The sequence below is a fragment of the Homo sapiens genome, chromosome 12, assembly GCF_000001405.40.
Source record: "Homo sapiens chromosome 12, GRCh38.p14 Primary Assembly".
In the NCBI taxonomy this organism is placed as follows: Eukaryota; Metazoa; Chordata; class Mammalia; order Primates; family Hominidae; genus Homo; species Homo sapiens.
In genome coordinates this window covers 38,162,444-38,178,857 of record NC_000012.12, presented here as the reverse complement: position 1 = coordinate 38,178,857, position 16,414 = coordinate 38,162,444, and the positions used below count along the sequence as shown (strand labels likewise).

The following is a 16,414-nucleotide window of genomic DNA, read 5'->3' as shown; positions in this document are numbered from 1 at the left end:
TTACAATTTGTTCATATGTTTCTACTTTTTAGACTGTGGCTTTCATGTAGAAAAATTGCATCTTATACCTCTTTTTATTAAACAGCGGTGTGCCTGCCACCTAGTTGAATTTTCAGGTTTGTTGAATAAGTAAAGTAAAATTATACCAGAAGTAAACTATTACATTTATCAACTTTACTCAGAAAACATATTGCTAAGTAAGATATACGAATCAATTCACTCACTTATTTAACAAACATGTATTAAATGACTACAGTTTGCTATGAGCTAGGAATACGGCAGTAAACAAATTTCACCTTGTCTCAAACTTCAGTGGATCCAAGAGTCTCTAGAAGTTTAATTCTTGCTCAATTAGTAATTCCTTTTCACTGAAGACTTGACAAGAAAGTTTGAGAAGGCAAGAGTGTGTGAACTCAGCAGATGTTTGTGATGCACCTACTGTGTGCCAGAAGCTGTAGTGTCACAGGATCTGTCTGTCTCCTAGGAAAGGTGAACACTAAAAACATTATTTTAATCAACAAAAAATGCCAAGTTTGCCAAATGATGGAGAGGGTAAGCACTGGGTCCCAAGAGTATGAAGGGCACTGAGCCTAGTGTGGGGTCCAGGTGTCTCTGGCATGGTGCTTTCCTAGGTCGTGGTTGTCCCTCCTTGCTCCTGCTGTCTTCTCCAGTTACATCTGCTTCTCTGCACTTCTTCATTTTACAGTGTGTGTGATGCAGTTATCTCTGAACAGGAACAGGCAACTGTACACCTGTTACGTTGTGCTTGATGCTCTGCATTGATGTACACTGGGTCCAGGTTTCCCTGGTGGACTGCTTGGGCCATTCTTGTCATCTGGCTCTGAAGACTTTATTCACAGAGGTGTACTTGCCAGATGGGGAAGCCAGAGATCTGGGGTCCTCTGTTGAGGCCACTCTCACCCTGTTTACCTTCCCTGACATACCAAACAGATGAAGCTCAGGTGAGCAGTGCACGTCAGGCCACAGTGTGGACCATGTACAATTCTTCATGCTCCAGCTTTAGCGCTCTTTCTTATTGCTGTCTTAGGACAGTATATTTAGTTGGAAGTAAATGAAAATAATGTTATTAGGGGATAAGATTAAAATCTATCCCATTTGTAAAAAAGGAAGTAGATTATTTGTGAACTGTAATACTTTATTGTTAGTGAGAAATCACCTTAAAACTTGGAAACTGGATACAAGATAATTACTTAATTCTGCAAATGTTTAGTAGCAAACTATATGCCAGGACTGTGCTAGGTACTAGGGATACATGGTTGAATATGTAGTATAAGATGCCTTGGAGTTTCATATAAATGGCTAATGCAGTATATAGACAGTGTGGTAAAAAGAGAATTCTGAGATGCACAGAGGACAGGCAATAAAGGGTCTTTGAATGGTGGATAAATGTGTTTGGATATTTCACTCATGGCGGTTGAAGTTTTTGAAGGTCAGTTGTCTCAGAGTTTTGGTGTTTTCAGGCCCTGCTAAGTATTTTGTTTCTAGTTGATCATTGGCCACCATTACTGATCATCAATTGGCTCTATCTGATCCAGCAACTCCACCACTGGGTATCTACAAAAAGGAAAAGTAATCAATGTATCAGAAAGATACCTGTACTTGTATGTTTGTTGCAACACTATTCACAGTAGAACTGATATAAATCAAACTAAATGTCCATCAACAGATGATTGGAGAAAGAAAATGTAGAAAATATACACAATGAAATACTATTCAGGCATAAAAAATAAAATCATAACTTCTGGAGACACATGGATGGAACTGGAGGCCATTATTGTAAGTGAAACAAGCCAGACACAGAGTAAACATGTAACCCATAAATTTATACACAAAAAGTCTTAGACCTCTCTCTCTTCTCCCATAAGCCTCAGAGCTCAGTGATCCCCTTGGATTTCCTCAGCCTGCTAAGTTTTGACTTTCCTACCTAAGGTGATTTTAGGCAGAGATAAGGCAGTGTTTCAGGAAGTGCTCTCAGGCACACTTCTGATGCAACATTAGAGGCTCTTCTGGTGGCCTTTATCTATTCACTGCTTTCAGCAAGGAATAAAACATCTGTGGCTAAAATTTTAAAAACAGTGTTTCCCACCTACCCTTCAGACCTGACAGAAGAGATTTTAGAATTTTAAGGGAACAGCTTTTTCCTGACCCAAAAGGGCAAAGTAGTGCAAAGGCCAATGTCACGTATGTACCTTTTCCACATCTGTAACATAACTCTCACATACTATTCCCATAGCTGGAATCAGTACAATGTTTTGACTGAGGTACTGGAAAAGCCTATGAGCTCATTATCATTTGAACATATGAATAATGTAAAATTTAGGCAGAATTTTATTTGAAAGGATTATTTGTGCATTTTTTAGTTAACTGATTTATATTTTGGTTATTTCAAACAATAAAAATCAGGTTGTTATGTTGTAAGCTACAAATATTTACAATAACACATGGTCTTGATTATCTCACATGAGGAATTGAAGATTAAAGCAAAATAATTTATCTTAGGGAACTTTGTGATAGTTTCTGTTTAACTTTGCCTCATAATGACTTCAAACTATTGTGCATATATGGAGAACTCCTGACTGAAGAGACTTTTTTTGACTACTGTGCTATGTTTATTATTGTAACTTTTTAAGATCTGGAGGAACATAAATTTAGTCTCAGTTGGTCCAGGAAATGTGGAATCAGCTTCTGTGTTATGTGCTGAGTATTGAAGCCACAGTGGAGACAAGGCTGCTGCCCTCACAGAGTCTAGGGGAGAAAACCTGATGGAGTATGGCAGAAAACACTCTGGGAGCATCCCAGGATGCCAAATCGCACACAGCTGGAATATGTGCCTTAGAACTGGGGAGGGTCAGACAAGGAGAGGCGTCAGGAAAAACAAGGAAAGATCTGCAGGAATAGAAACACACCTGAGAAATCCATGGGGAATGAATAGAGAATGGGTGAGCAGCAGCAGGTTGTCAAGATGGAAACCAAGAAGGAGCAGCCAAAGAGGTTGCTGGGGAACTAGGAGGAAGAAGGTGACAGTGAAGCCAAGGAAACAAAAGTGTTTCAACATTTCTGGAAAAAAAAAATCACATGCTCTGTCTTAACCTTGCTGTTTTATGAGTCATATAATCACACTCCAGGTTCTGAGGTGTCCAGCACTAAAGATGTTTCTTTTAGTTTACTTACCTCAGCATTGGCCAGAATAATCTGGGCTCAGTGTGAGTGTGTGCATTTGTGCGTGTGCGTGTGTGCGTGTGCGCCTGTGTGTTCCACTAACATCTCACTGGGGCTAGTGTTCTATACAACATAATTTTTTAAACACCGATTTTATCCATCCTGTGTTCAGCTGCAGCAATACTTAAAAAGGTCAACTTTGATCATGTGTCTTAGTTACTAAAGAAAACAAAATAATGAATAAAGCCCACCCTGCAGTGGCTCCTCACTGCCTGTACAATGGAGCCCACCTGGCTTGGCCTGGGTGCCCTGTGCTGACCTAGCCATACTGCTGTCTGCCTGCTCCTTTTCCTCCCCTTTCCTCCTGGAGAAGGTAGGGATGCTCTGAGGTTTGGCCAGCATGGAACATGTGTCCTCCTCCTAAAGTGGACCATGTTTTCCTGAGTCCACTTTAATCTCTTTTAAGGATATAGATCAAACAATTTATATTTTTCTGGACTCTCCTTTTCTCCCCTACCAATCTCCATACAGAGATCTGACCTTTCTTGAAGCTTTTGGTCAGGTCTCACTCTGTATGCAGTTTTCCTGCCACTTCTACAATGTACACACTTTACTCGTACATAAATTATGCTATAGCAGCCCAGGTTTTTCATTTATGTATCATTTTATATCATCTTTTTTTTTCTTAGAGCTTACTTCACTTATATATTCAATCTTTCCACAATATAATTGTATGTCATATAATTTTATATTTATTTTCATTGGTATTTATATATCTTTTCTGTAAAAATGGAGACTTTCTAAATAGATCTTCATTAATATTGAAAGAACAAAGTTTTAAGTCTTGGTCTCAGCCAAAAGGAGTTCCCTGCATATCCAGGAGGGAATGAAACACTTAAATTGTTGCATTAGATATTATTACAGAGAAAGAGAAACATGTGTAATGGAAAATTGCTAACTTTGCCTCAGGGAGATCAGGTTGATTCACTGAGAAAGTTTGAATTGGTTTAGAAAGCATGGTTCCAAGTTTTCTAGGAGAAGGAGAAAAGTTAGGGTAGGGTGTAAGAAGTAATGCCCACATCAAAAAGTTAGAAAGATCTCATATTAACAACCTAACATCACAACTGAAAGAATTAGAAAAGCAAGAAGAAATCAACCACAAAGTTTGCAGAAGACAAGAAATAACTAAAATAAGAGCTGAATTGAAAGAAATTGAGACATAAAAAACTGTTCAAATGATCACTTAATCAAAGTTTTTTGAAAAAATTAATAAGATAGTCACTAGACTAATAAAGAAGAAAAGAGAGAAGACTCAAGTAAACACAATTATAAATGATGAAGGTAATGTTACCACTGACCCCACAGAAATAAAAATAACAATCAACAACTACTCTATGAACAACTCTACTATGAACAACTACTACGAACAACTCTACACAAACTAGAAGCCCTAGAAGAGACAAATAAATTCCTGGACACATACACCCTCTCAAGACTGAACCAGGAAGAAACTCAGTCTCTGAACAAACCAATAATGAGCTCCAAAAATTGAATCAGTAATAAACAGCCTAACAACCAAGAAAAAAAAAGCCCAGAACCTGAGAGATTAACAGTAAGGTTTTAACAGATGTACAAAGAAAAGCTAGTACCATTCCTACTAAAACTATTTCAAGTAATAGTGGAGGAGGGACTTCTTCCCAACTTGTTCTACGAGGCCAGCATCATCCTGATAACAAAGCCTGGCAGTGACACAACAAAAAAGGAAAGCTTCAGGCCGGTATCCTTGATGAACATCCATTCAATAATCCACAACAAAATCCTTGCAAACCGAATCCAGCAGCACATCAAAAGGGTAATTCACCACCACAGTAACATAGGCTTCTCCCCTGGAATGGAAGGTTGGTCCATCATGGGCAAATCAATAAAATGTGATTCATAACATAAATAAAACTAAAGACAAGAACCACATGATTGTCTCAATCGATGCTGAAAAGGCTTTCAGTAGAATTCAACATGTTTCATGTTAAAAACTCTCAATAAATGAGGTATTGAAGGAACATACCTCAAAATAATAAAGGCCACCTATGACAAACTCACAGCCAACATTATACTAAATGGGCAAAATCTGGAAGCATTCTCCTGGAAACCCACACAAGACAAGGATGCCCTCTCTCACCACTCCTATTCAACGTAGTATTAGAAATCTTTGCTGGAGCAATCAGACAAGAGAAAGAAATAAAGGGTATTAAAAAAAAAAAGAAATATAGGGTATTTAAATAGAAAGAGATGTCCAACTACCTCTGTTTGCAGACAACATAATTCTCTATCTAAACCCTATACTTGTGACCCAAAATGTTCCTTAAGCTGATAAACAACTTCCACATGGTTTCAGTATACAAAATCAACGTACAAAATTTGCCAGCATTCCTATATACCAAGAAGAGCCAAACTGAGAGACAAATCAGAAAGGCAATTTTATTCACAATTTCCACAAAAAGAATAAAATACCTAGGAATACAGCTAACCAGGGAGGTGAAAGATCTCTACAATGAAAATTACAGAGCTAGACTCCGTCTCAAAAAAAAAAAAAAAAAAAAATTACAAAACACTACTCAAAGAAGTCAGATAAGACGCAAACAAATGAAAAATTATTCCATGTTAATGGACAGAAAGAACTAATATCATTTAAATGGCCATGCTGCTCAAAGCTATTCCTATTAAAGTACAAATGACATGCTTCACGAAACTAGAAAATCTATTTAAAAATTTATATGGAACCAAGAAAGAATCTAAGTAGCCAAGGCAATCCTAAGCAAAAAGAACAAAGCTTGAGGCATCACATTACCTGACTTCAAACCATGCTATAGCACTACTGTAACTAAAACAGCATGGTACTGGTACAAAAACAGACACACACACCAATGGAACAGAGTAGAGATCCCAGAAATAAGACCACACACCTCCAACTATATAATGTTTGACAAAGCTGGCAAAAACAAGCAATAAGGAAAAGTCTCCCTATTCAATAAATGGTGCTAAATGGTGCTAAATGGTGCTAGGATAACTGCCTAGCCATATGCAGAAGATTGAAGCTGGACTTCTTCCTTACACTATATACAAAAATCAACTCAAGATGGATTAAATACTTAAATGTAAAACCCAGAACTATAAAAGTCCTGGAAGATAACCTAGGCAATACCATCCTGGACATAAAAATAGGCAAAGATTTCATGATAAAGTTGCCAAAAACAATTACAACAAATGCAAATATTGACAAGTGGGATCTGATTAAACTTAATAGCTTCTGCTCAGCAAAAGAAATTATCGATAGAGTGAAGAGAAAACCTACAGAATAAGAAAACATATTTACAAACTATGTATCTGAGTCTAATATTCAACATAGGGAACTTAAATAAATTTACAAGAGAATAACAACCCTAATAAAAAGTGGCCAAAGAATTGTCTATTCATGTCCTTCGCCTACTTTTTTTTGGGATTGTTTGTTTTTTTCTTGCTAATTTGTTTGAGCTTGTTGTAGATTCTGGATATTAGTCCTTTGTCAGATATACAGATTGTGAAGATTTTCTCCCATTCTATGGATTGTCTGTTTACTCTCCTGACTGTTCCTTTTGTTGTGAAAAAGCCTTTAGTTTAATTAAATCCCATCTATTTATCTTTGTTTTTCTTGCATTTGCTTTTGGGTTCTTGGTCATGAAATCCTTGCCTAAGCCAATGTCTAGAAGGTTTTTTTCGATGTCATCTTCTAGAATTTTTATAGTTTCAGGTCTTAGATTTAAGTTCTTGATCTGTCTCATGTTGATTTTTGTACAAGATGAGATATGATGATCTAGTTTCAATCTCCTACATGTGGCTTGCCAATTATCCCAGCACGATTTGTTGAGTAGGGTGTACTTTCCCCACTTTGTTTTTGTTTGCTTTGTGAAAGATCAGATGGCTGTAAATATTTGGATTAATTTCTGGGTTCTCTATTATGTTCCATTTGTCTATGTGCCTATTTTTATACAAGAACCATGCTGTTTTTGTGATTATGGTCTTATGATATAGTTTGAAATCAGGTAATGTGATGCCTTCTGATTTGTTCTTTTTGCTTAGTATTGCTTTGGCTATGCAGGCTCTTTTTTGGTTCCATATGAATTTTAGAATTGTTGTTTGTAGTTATGTGAAGAATGATAGTGGTATTTTGATGGCAATTGCATTGAATTTGTAGATTGCTTTTGGCAGTATGGTCATACACAATTCTTAGAAGATATACAAATAGCCAAAAAACATATGAAAAAAATGCTCAACATCACTAATAATCAGGGAAATGCAAATTACAACCATGATGCGATACCACCTTACTCCCACAAGAATGGTCATAATCAAAAAATAAAAACATAATAGATGTTGGTGTGAATGTGGTGAAAAGGGAACACTTCTACACTGCTGGTGGGAACGTAAAGTAGAACAATCACTATGGAAAACAGTGTGGAGATTCCTTAAAGAACTAAAAGTAGAAGTACCATTTGATCCCTCAATCCCACTACTGGCTGTGTACCCAGAGGAAAAAAGAAGTTATTATGCAAAAAAGATACCTGCACACACGTATTTATAGCAGCACAATTTGCAGTTGCAAAGATGTAGAACCAATCCAAATGCCCATCAGTCAATGAGTGGATAAAGAAACTGTGGTATATATGTAGGATGGAATACTATTCAGCCATAAAAAGAAATGAATTAATAGCAATTGCAGCAACCTGGATGGGATTGAAGACTATTAATTTAAGTGAAGTAACTCAGGAATGGAAAACCAAACATCATATATTCTCACTTAGGGAGCTAAGCTATAAGGATGCAAAGGCATAAGAATAACACAGTGGACTTTGGGGACTCACGGGGAAAGGGGTAAAGGGGGCGAGGGATAAAAGGCTACAAATTGGGTTCAGTGTATACTGATGAGGTGATGGATGTACCAAAATTTTACAAATCACCGATAAAGAACTTACTAATGTTACCAAATACCACCTGTTGCCCCAAAACCTATGGAAATAAAAAATAATTTAAAAAGTTGGCAAAAGACATGAACACTTTTCAAAAGAATATATACATGTGACCAACAACCATAGAATACAAAGCTCAATATCACTGATCATTAGAGAAATGCAAATCAAAGGCACAGTGAGACACCATCTTGCACCAGTCAGAATGTCTACTATTAAAAAGTCAAAAAATAACAGATGCTGGCAAGGTTGTGGAGAAAGACAACACATACACTGTTGGTTGGAGAGTACACTGGTTCCACCATTGTGGAAAGCAGTATGGTAATTCCTCGAAAGAGCTAAAAGCAGAACCATCACTTGACCCAGCAATCTCATTACTGGGCATATACCCAGATGTATATAAATTGTTCTATCATAAAGACACAAGCACATACATGTTTATTGCAGCACTATTACAGTGGTAAAGACATGGAATCAACCTAAATGCCCATTGATGACAGACTGAATAAAGATAATGTGAGACATTATGGAGGAAAAGTTAAACATTAAATTTGAACTCAATTGAACATGGACACAACCAATGGTCACGTTGTGCACATGTACCCTAAAACTTAAAGTATAATAATAATAAAATAAATTTTTAAAAAATGGTCACTAAGACCTGGAACGAGTTGTGTGAGCCCCTTGAGGCATTCATTCAGCACTGTTTCAGAGAAATAGTTATTGAAAAACAACAGACAATTGCAAAAACAATTGCACCACCACGCTGGGCTAATTTTTGTATTTTTAATAGAGATGGGGTTTTACCATGTTGGCCAGGCTGGTCTCGAACCCCTGACCTCAAGTGATGCACCAGCCTTGGCCTCCCAAAGTGTTGGAAATACAGGCTTGTGAAGATATGCTTTTGATGACCATTTTGAATTCCTTGAGCCCAGTCAAGAAGGGCCCTCATGACTGGGCCTCATGTCGAACAACTTGTTACAAAAAGAGCTAGTTTCCCAGACCGTGCTGAAGTTTCATGGGACCTCTGTTCATCTGTGCACAGACTAGTGGCCAACTCTGGAGCCCAGGTAGTTGCTTCCCCATCTGGTGATGAATCCTTCATCATCTGGTGACTATATATATATACACATGTATTTTATATATATATATATATATATATATATATATATATACACACACACACACACACACGCATCATACATACACACACAAACATATATGTATATTTATTATATACATGTCTTTTCCCTTCTCCCCTTCCCATTGCAATTTGTTTATTATATCATTGGTTTATTAGATGATTTGCTTATTATATCTGTATTGCCATATACTCGGGATAAAGTCTGTTTACCCTTAAAAGTATTGTGTGTTTCTTTTCTTCTCTCCTCACACATTTCCCACACAGAACACACATATGCACCATGGAATACTATGCAACTATGTGTTCTCACTTATAAGAGGGAGCGAAATAATGAGAACTTATGCACACAAAGAAGGAAACAACAGACATTGGGGTCTACTTGATGGGGGAGGGTGGGAGGAGGGAGAGCAACAGAAAAGATAACTATGCGGTACCAGGCTTAATACCTGGTTTATAAAATAATCTGTATAACAAGCCCCTGTGATACGAGTTTATCTATGTAACAAACCTTCACATGTACCCCTGAACCTAAAATAAAAAAAATTTAAAATCCTTTATGAAAGCTATAAGATCTGCTCCTGTGTGTTTTTATGTCTATATGTGTTACGTGTATGTGATATTTTGTAAATAAAGCTAGTTCTTAAATCGTTAGTAAAATAGAAATAGCTTTACAATTATCAGTTAAATATAATTAGATACTTGCTTGATTTAACTGTGAGCCTATGTCTTTTGTTGAGAGTTTCTGGATTCAGGGGGTCTTGATAGGTGTCCACGATGAAGTCTGGAGACATGTTCTCAGTGTCTAGACCAGCAGTTACAAGCCAGAATCAAGCCCAATTGGCCCCTTCTTTCTATGCTTTTCCTATTTTGCTTCCTGCCTATTTTAGGAAGGATTGGTTCCTCCAGGTATAGCCTTCACAGCACTGTCTTTAGTCCTAATGGACTCAGGCAGGCCGTGATCTTCATAGTTTTCCTGGGTGCCATGTGGCTACTTGGGACCTAGAATTACTGAGGGAAGACATTAGGGATGCTACCTGTGTCACAGTTCCAAAATTCTGTTCAGTAATTTAAAACCTTAACTTCATGTTAAATTAAGTAATAGATAATTATAAAATGTCTTGAGTCATTTGTAAGCTAAAATAATGAAATATTCACCATTAAAAATTAGTTCTATATACCATGACATATTACTTGTATATGGTATAGAAAACTTAAATATCTTTAGTTCTGTTAATAAACAATAATTTGAAGAACTATATTTCTTCAAAATTATAAAATGGTTTTTATCTAAAAATACTGTTGTAAGACAATAGAAAATCACTTTTTAGGATTTTCACTGAAAATTGGGGTTACTAAGACTTAATTACTAGATATGAGAGAAACAATTCTGTATACAGAGTGTATAAAAAAGCAAGATATCCTTCTTTTTTTATTATTTATTTTTAGACCGAGTCCTGTTCTGTTGCCCAGGCTGGCATGCAGTGGCATGATCTCAGCTCACTGCAACCTCCACCTCCCGAGTTCAAGTGATTCACCTGCCTCAGCCTCCCAAGTAGCTGGGATTACAGGTCCTCACCACCATGCCGGGCTAATTTTTGTATTTTTAGTAGAGACGGGGTTTCACTATGTTGGCCAGGCTGGCCTCGAACCCCTGACCTCAAGTGATGCACCCGCCTTGGCCTCCCAAAGTGCTGGGATTACAGGCTTGTGAAGATATACTTTTGATGAGAAAACTTATAAAGGCGTAAACATATGTTTTAATTTTTTTTTGTTTGAAGTTACTTAAAGGTTTCAAATTGTACAAGTAAAAAATAGATAAAACTAGGTAAATATAGAAAGCTGGGGGAAATGCAAAGCATAGGTTCACAAAGATCTGGGATTAAAAGATGACACATTTGATAAATTTATTCATAAAATTTTATTAAATTAACTTCAGAGGCTGGGTGTGGTGGCTCACGCCTGTAAATAATAAAATTTTCTTGTCAATTGTGTCTATGACAATTTAAAAACATTTCCACTGTAAATTGCTTAATTCTGAGGCAGTTTCTGAAAACTGTACAAGCTTGCAAAATTATAGAATACTGTATCTTTAAGGAGTTTCATGAAAGGAGGGAAAAGGTCCTGAGAAGAATTCTAGAATACAGATTTTTGAGAACTTTAGAATCATATCATTTGAACGAGTAAGAATTCCCAGAACTTTAATGAAGAGACTGACTGGTTTATAAACTGCTAACCCAAACAGAGTAAAAATCAACTGAATACCAAGAAATTACTTTGTCAGATTTTCATGACAAATAAGCCAGTACTTAAATTGTCTAGATAAAGTATTTGAATGAACTCCATAGTCCAAGTCAAATTATCGGTGATAATCCCTGATTAGTGTCAGTGCTATGCACCTAAGTTGAAGAAACAGTCCAATGTTAAACGTGGAGAACCAGGATGTCTTCCATGTCCTTCCTGAGTTCTGAATGCTTTTCTGATTAAAAGTTCTGCATTCTGATTCTTGGGTGTGAGGGTAAAGCAAGATGGCAGAAAGAAGGCTCCACTGATCTTCCATCCTGCAAGGACACCAGATGAACAACTATTAATATCTACATAGAAAATACTTTCATAAGAACCAAAAATCAGGTGAGTACTCAAAATACCTGGTTTTAACTTCATATCACTGAAAGAGGCACTGAGAAGAGAGAAAAAACAGTCCTGAATCACCGGTTCCACCATTTCCTCACCCCCAGCAGTGATAGAGTGGTGCAGAGATCAACTCTGGGCTCTGCAGGAGGGAGAACACAGCAATTGTGAGGCATCGAACCCTGTGCTGTCCTGTTAGAGCAGAAAGGAAAACCAGACCGAATGCAGTCAATGCCCATCCACAGAGGGATCATTTAAACCAGCCCTAGCCAGAGGGGAATCAGATTCCAGTGGTTGGAACTTGAGCGTTTGGAAACCTGGCAACTGAGGGCTCCAGCGCTCTGTGTATCTAAGAAAATTTGAAAGGCAGCATAGGCCATCAGGACTGCAAATCTTAGGTGAGGCCTAGGGCTGATCTGGGCCCAGGAACAGTAAACTGGGGTAGGGAGGGCATGCAACATACTGAGACAGCAGCTGGGGCAGCCAAAGGAGTTCTGGCACTATCACTCCCCTAATACCAGTCTGCACAGCTCATGGCTCCAAAAGGGACACCATCCTTCTGCTTGAGGAGAGGAGGAAAAGATTAGGGAGGACTTTGTTTTCCATCCTGGCTACCAGCTCAGCCACAGCAAGATAGCTCACTGGTCAGAGTCCTGAGGCCTCCTTTCCAGGCTCTGGCTCCTGGACATTCCTAGACACACCCAGGCCAGAAGGAAACCTGCTGCCTTAAAGGAAAGAACCCAGTGCTGGCAGCATTTATCACCTGCAAACTTAACAACTTTTGGGCCCTGAATAACAAGCAGCCATACCCAGGTACTATATCAAGAGCCTTGGGTGAGCCTCATAGACTTACTAGATTTAGGTGAGACTCAGCTCATTACAAGCTGTGGTGGCTAAAGGGCAAAACTCCCTTTGCTTGGGAAAAGCAGAGGGAAAAGTAAAGGGGACTTCGTCTTGCCACTTAAGTACCAGCAAGGCCAGAGGAGCGTAGAGCACCAAGAAAGCTTTTGGAATCCCTGATTCTAGGACTTGATTCTTGGTTGGCATGTATGAACCTGCCCAGGGCCAGTGGGGAGCCCACTGGCCTGAAAATGGCAAGTCCCAGGCCAGGCAACATTCATCACAACCTGAAAAGAGGCTTTGGGCCTTAAAGGAACATTGGTGGTAGCCTGGCAGTATTCCTTGTGTCCTGGGTTGCTGGTAGTTACTCTGCCTTTGGAAAAGGAAAGGAGGAATAGGAAGGACTGTGTCTTGTGATTTCAATGCTAGCTCCGCTGGAATGCAATAGAATGTCAGGTGCCCTGAAGGAAAGAACCCAGATGTAGCTGGCTTTGCCACCTGCTAATTGTAGAGACCAAAGGCCTTGAGTGAACATAGGTAGTCATCAGAAAGTGCATGCGGCAGAACTTGAGCAAGACCCAGTGCTGTGCTAGCTTTAGATCTGATCCAGGGCAGTCATAGTGGTGGTGGCCAGGGGTGTTTGTGTCATTCTACTCCCAATTTTAGGTGGCTTAGAATATAGAGAAAGACTACTGTATCTTTGAGGGAAAATAAGGTTAGAGAACAAGGGTCTCTGGCTAGTAATCCAGAAAATTCTCCTGGATCTTGTCCAAGACTGTCAAGGTGGTACTTCTATAAGTCTGCAAGAATTACAGAATTATTGGGTATAAGGTGCCTCCCAAAGCAGGTATGGCTTAGATCACAACACAAGCCTTTTCAAATATGTGGAAATCCTTCCCAAGAAAGATGGCTATGAATAAGCCCAGACAATGAATACTACAATAAATACTCACCTTTTAAAAAAAAAAAATTCTTTTTTTTAACCTCTTATATGATGCTGCATGCCAAAATTTTAATGTCCAGACACTGAAGAACATCTACTAACAACACCATCCAAGAAAATATGACCTCACCAAGTGAACTAAACAAGGCACCAGGGACAAATCCTGGAGAAAAAGAGATATGTAATCTTTCAGACAGAATTCAAAATAGCTGTATTAAAAAAAAAAAAAACTCAGAAATTTAAGATAACAAAGTAAAGAAATTCCAAATTTTATCAGCTAAACTCAACAAAGAGATTGAAATAGTTACAACAAATTAAGCAAAAATTCAGGAGCTGAAAAATGCAATTGGCATGCTGAATAATGCATTAGAGCCATTTAATAGCAGAATGGATCAAGCAGAAGAAATAGTGAACTTGAAGACAGGCTTGAGACAAAAGAAAAAGAATAAAAACAACAAATAATGCCTACAGGATCTAGAAAATAGCCTCACAAAGACAGGTCTAAGAGTTATTGGTTTTAAAGAAGATGTAGAGAAAGAGACAGGGGTAGAAAAATTTATTTAAAGGGATAATAACAGAAAACTTTCCAAACCTAGAGAAAGATATCCAAATCCAACTAAAAAATGTTATAGAACATTAAGCAGATTTAACCCAAAAAAGACTACTTCAAAGCATTCAATAACCAATCTTCAAAAAGTCAAAGAAAAGAAAAGTTCTACAAAAGTAAAAGAAAAGAAGCAAATAACATACAGGGGAGCTCCAACACATCTGGCAGCAGACTTTACATTGGAAACCCTATCGGCCAGGAGAAAGAAGCAATAAATATTTAAAGCACTAAAGGAAAAGAACCTTTACCTTAGGATAGCATATACAGTGAAAATGTTCTTCAAATAAAAAGAATACTGACTTTTCCAGACAAACAAAAGCTGAAGGATTTCAATACCACACCTGTCCTACAAGGAATGCTAAAGGGAGTACTTCAGTCAGGAAGGACATTAATGAGCAATAAATAATCAACTGAAGGTAAAAAAATCGTCATCGATAATAGTAACTATACAAAACAAAACAGAATATTATAACACTATAGCTGTGGTGTGTAAACTCATTCTATGTAGGAAGACTAAATAATAAACCAATCAAGAGTAATAACTACAAGAACGTTTCAAGACATAGTACAAAAAAATATAAATAGAAACAACAAAAAGTTAAAAAGTGAAGGGATGAGCACACCCGTCCTGAGCGGGCCTGATGTTGTGGAAGCTCGGGAGCCGGGTGAAGGCCTGGAGCATCGCCAGAAGGGAGATCGCCCGTAGACCCCTAAGCCTGGGCAGGGGACGGAGGCCTCTGGCGCCCCAGAGCAACAGCAGGGCGGCACCATGGCGGTCCTGCGCGTGGCCCGGCAGCCGGCGACGGAGGGAGGCTCTGGGAGGCAGGAGGAAGGCACAGAGTGGTGGCCAGCAGTGCTCGGGGGAATAGAGGGAGAGAGCAGCTCGGCCGGCTCGGGGATCCCGGATCCAAGCCCCGCAGCCCCGGGGTGGCGATGATGCCTGGAGTCCGGCGGGCGTGGCAGTGCCGGGCTCTTGCGGCATCCAGGCGCCACTGCCAGCGCCTACAGCCATATCACCCTGCCCGATCTCATCTGACCTCGGAAGTTAAGCAGGGTCGGTCCTGGTTAGTACTCGGATGGGAGGCCGCCTGGGAATGCTGGGTGCTGTAGGGTTTGGCTTCGCCCTCCCTCTTTCCACCTTTTGTCGCCGTGCTTCACGACCTTCCCCTAATTCTGCTCCCGCTTTTACCGTCACCTGCAGCCCCGAAGCAGCCTGGGACCTCCTCGTGGGAGTCCACCGCTGCAGCACCACCAGGCAACAGGATCCCACATCTTCCGCCTTGCTGCAGCCCCACCAGGTGCCCAGCTCCAGCCGGGGCGGGGGCGGTACATGTTCCCTAAGGTGCCCGGTGTCTTCACGCTCCCGGGACGCCCAGGCAATTCAATTTACTCATCAGGCTCCATGCAACAGCTCAAGCCAGGGGAAGTGGCGGCCAGGGGCAGAGGGTCCCACAGACGGCAGCCAAAACCACTGCTCCAGGACCTATGAGCTGCTTTCCCCAGGGGAAGGACACTGCCGTCACCAGTCACGAGGAAATCTGTCCCTGTGCACCCCAATTCCTATTGCCACCGACTTCGTGTAAACTCCAGTCCCGAGGACACGAGAGAGACCCAGGCCTCGGGCCCCGTCAGCACGCTCCATGCCATGGCTCCCACCACACGGACGGACGCACTCTACAAATCTCGGGGCCCACCACACCAAGAAGACAGGGAGTAGCCAACAAAAGGAGGACCCTATGAAACGCACCCCCAAAGCAACCAACCAATCTATGAAAAAATACGTCTCAGAGTTCTGTTGGTCCTCTTGCAGAACAGGGCCCTGACCCCCTGTTCTGGCCTGGCTCAATCACCCTCCACCCTACCCCAGCCTGCTTGAATGAGCCCTGTCTACCAGAGCAGAGCGCTTCCTCTCCCAGGCTCTATCGCTCTGGCTCTCTAGCTCTCTCACCCTCTCTCTGTTTCTCTTCTTCCCCCTCCATCTCTCTGTCACCTTCTCTCTCTCTTTCCTCCCTGTCTCTCTCTTTATCGCTGTCTCTCTCCCTCAGTTTCTATCTCTCCATCCCTCTTTCCCT

At 39.9% G+C, this 16,414-nt stretch overlaps 1 long non-coding RNA gene and 1 pseudogene across 1 annotated transcript; one reads left to right on the top strand and one right to left on the bottom strand.

Moving 5' to 3' along the window:
• Window positions 1-11,223: 11,223 nt before the first annotated feature.
• Window positions 11,224-12,134, bottom strand: LOC124902916 (uncharacterized). Its single transcript, XR_007063273.1, has 2 exons — window positions 11,970-12,134; window positions 11,224-11,882 (listed from the first exon to the last, which is right to left on the bottom strand). It is a non-coding gene; the product is annotated as an uncharacterized LOC124902916 (long non-coding RNA).
• RNA5SP359 (RNA, 5S ribosomal pseudogene 359) lies at window positions 15,343-15,455 on the top strand (annotated as a pseudogene).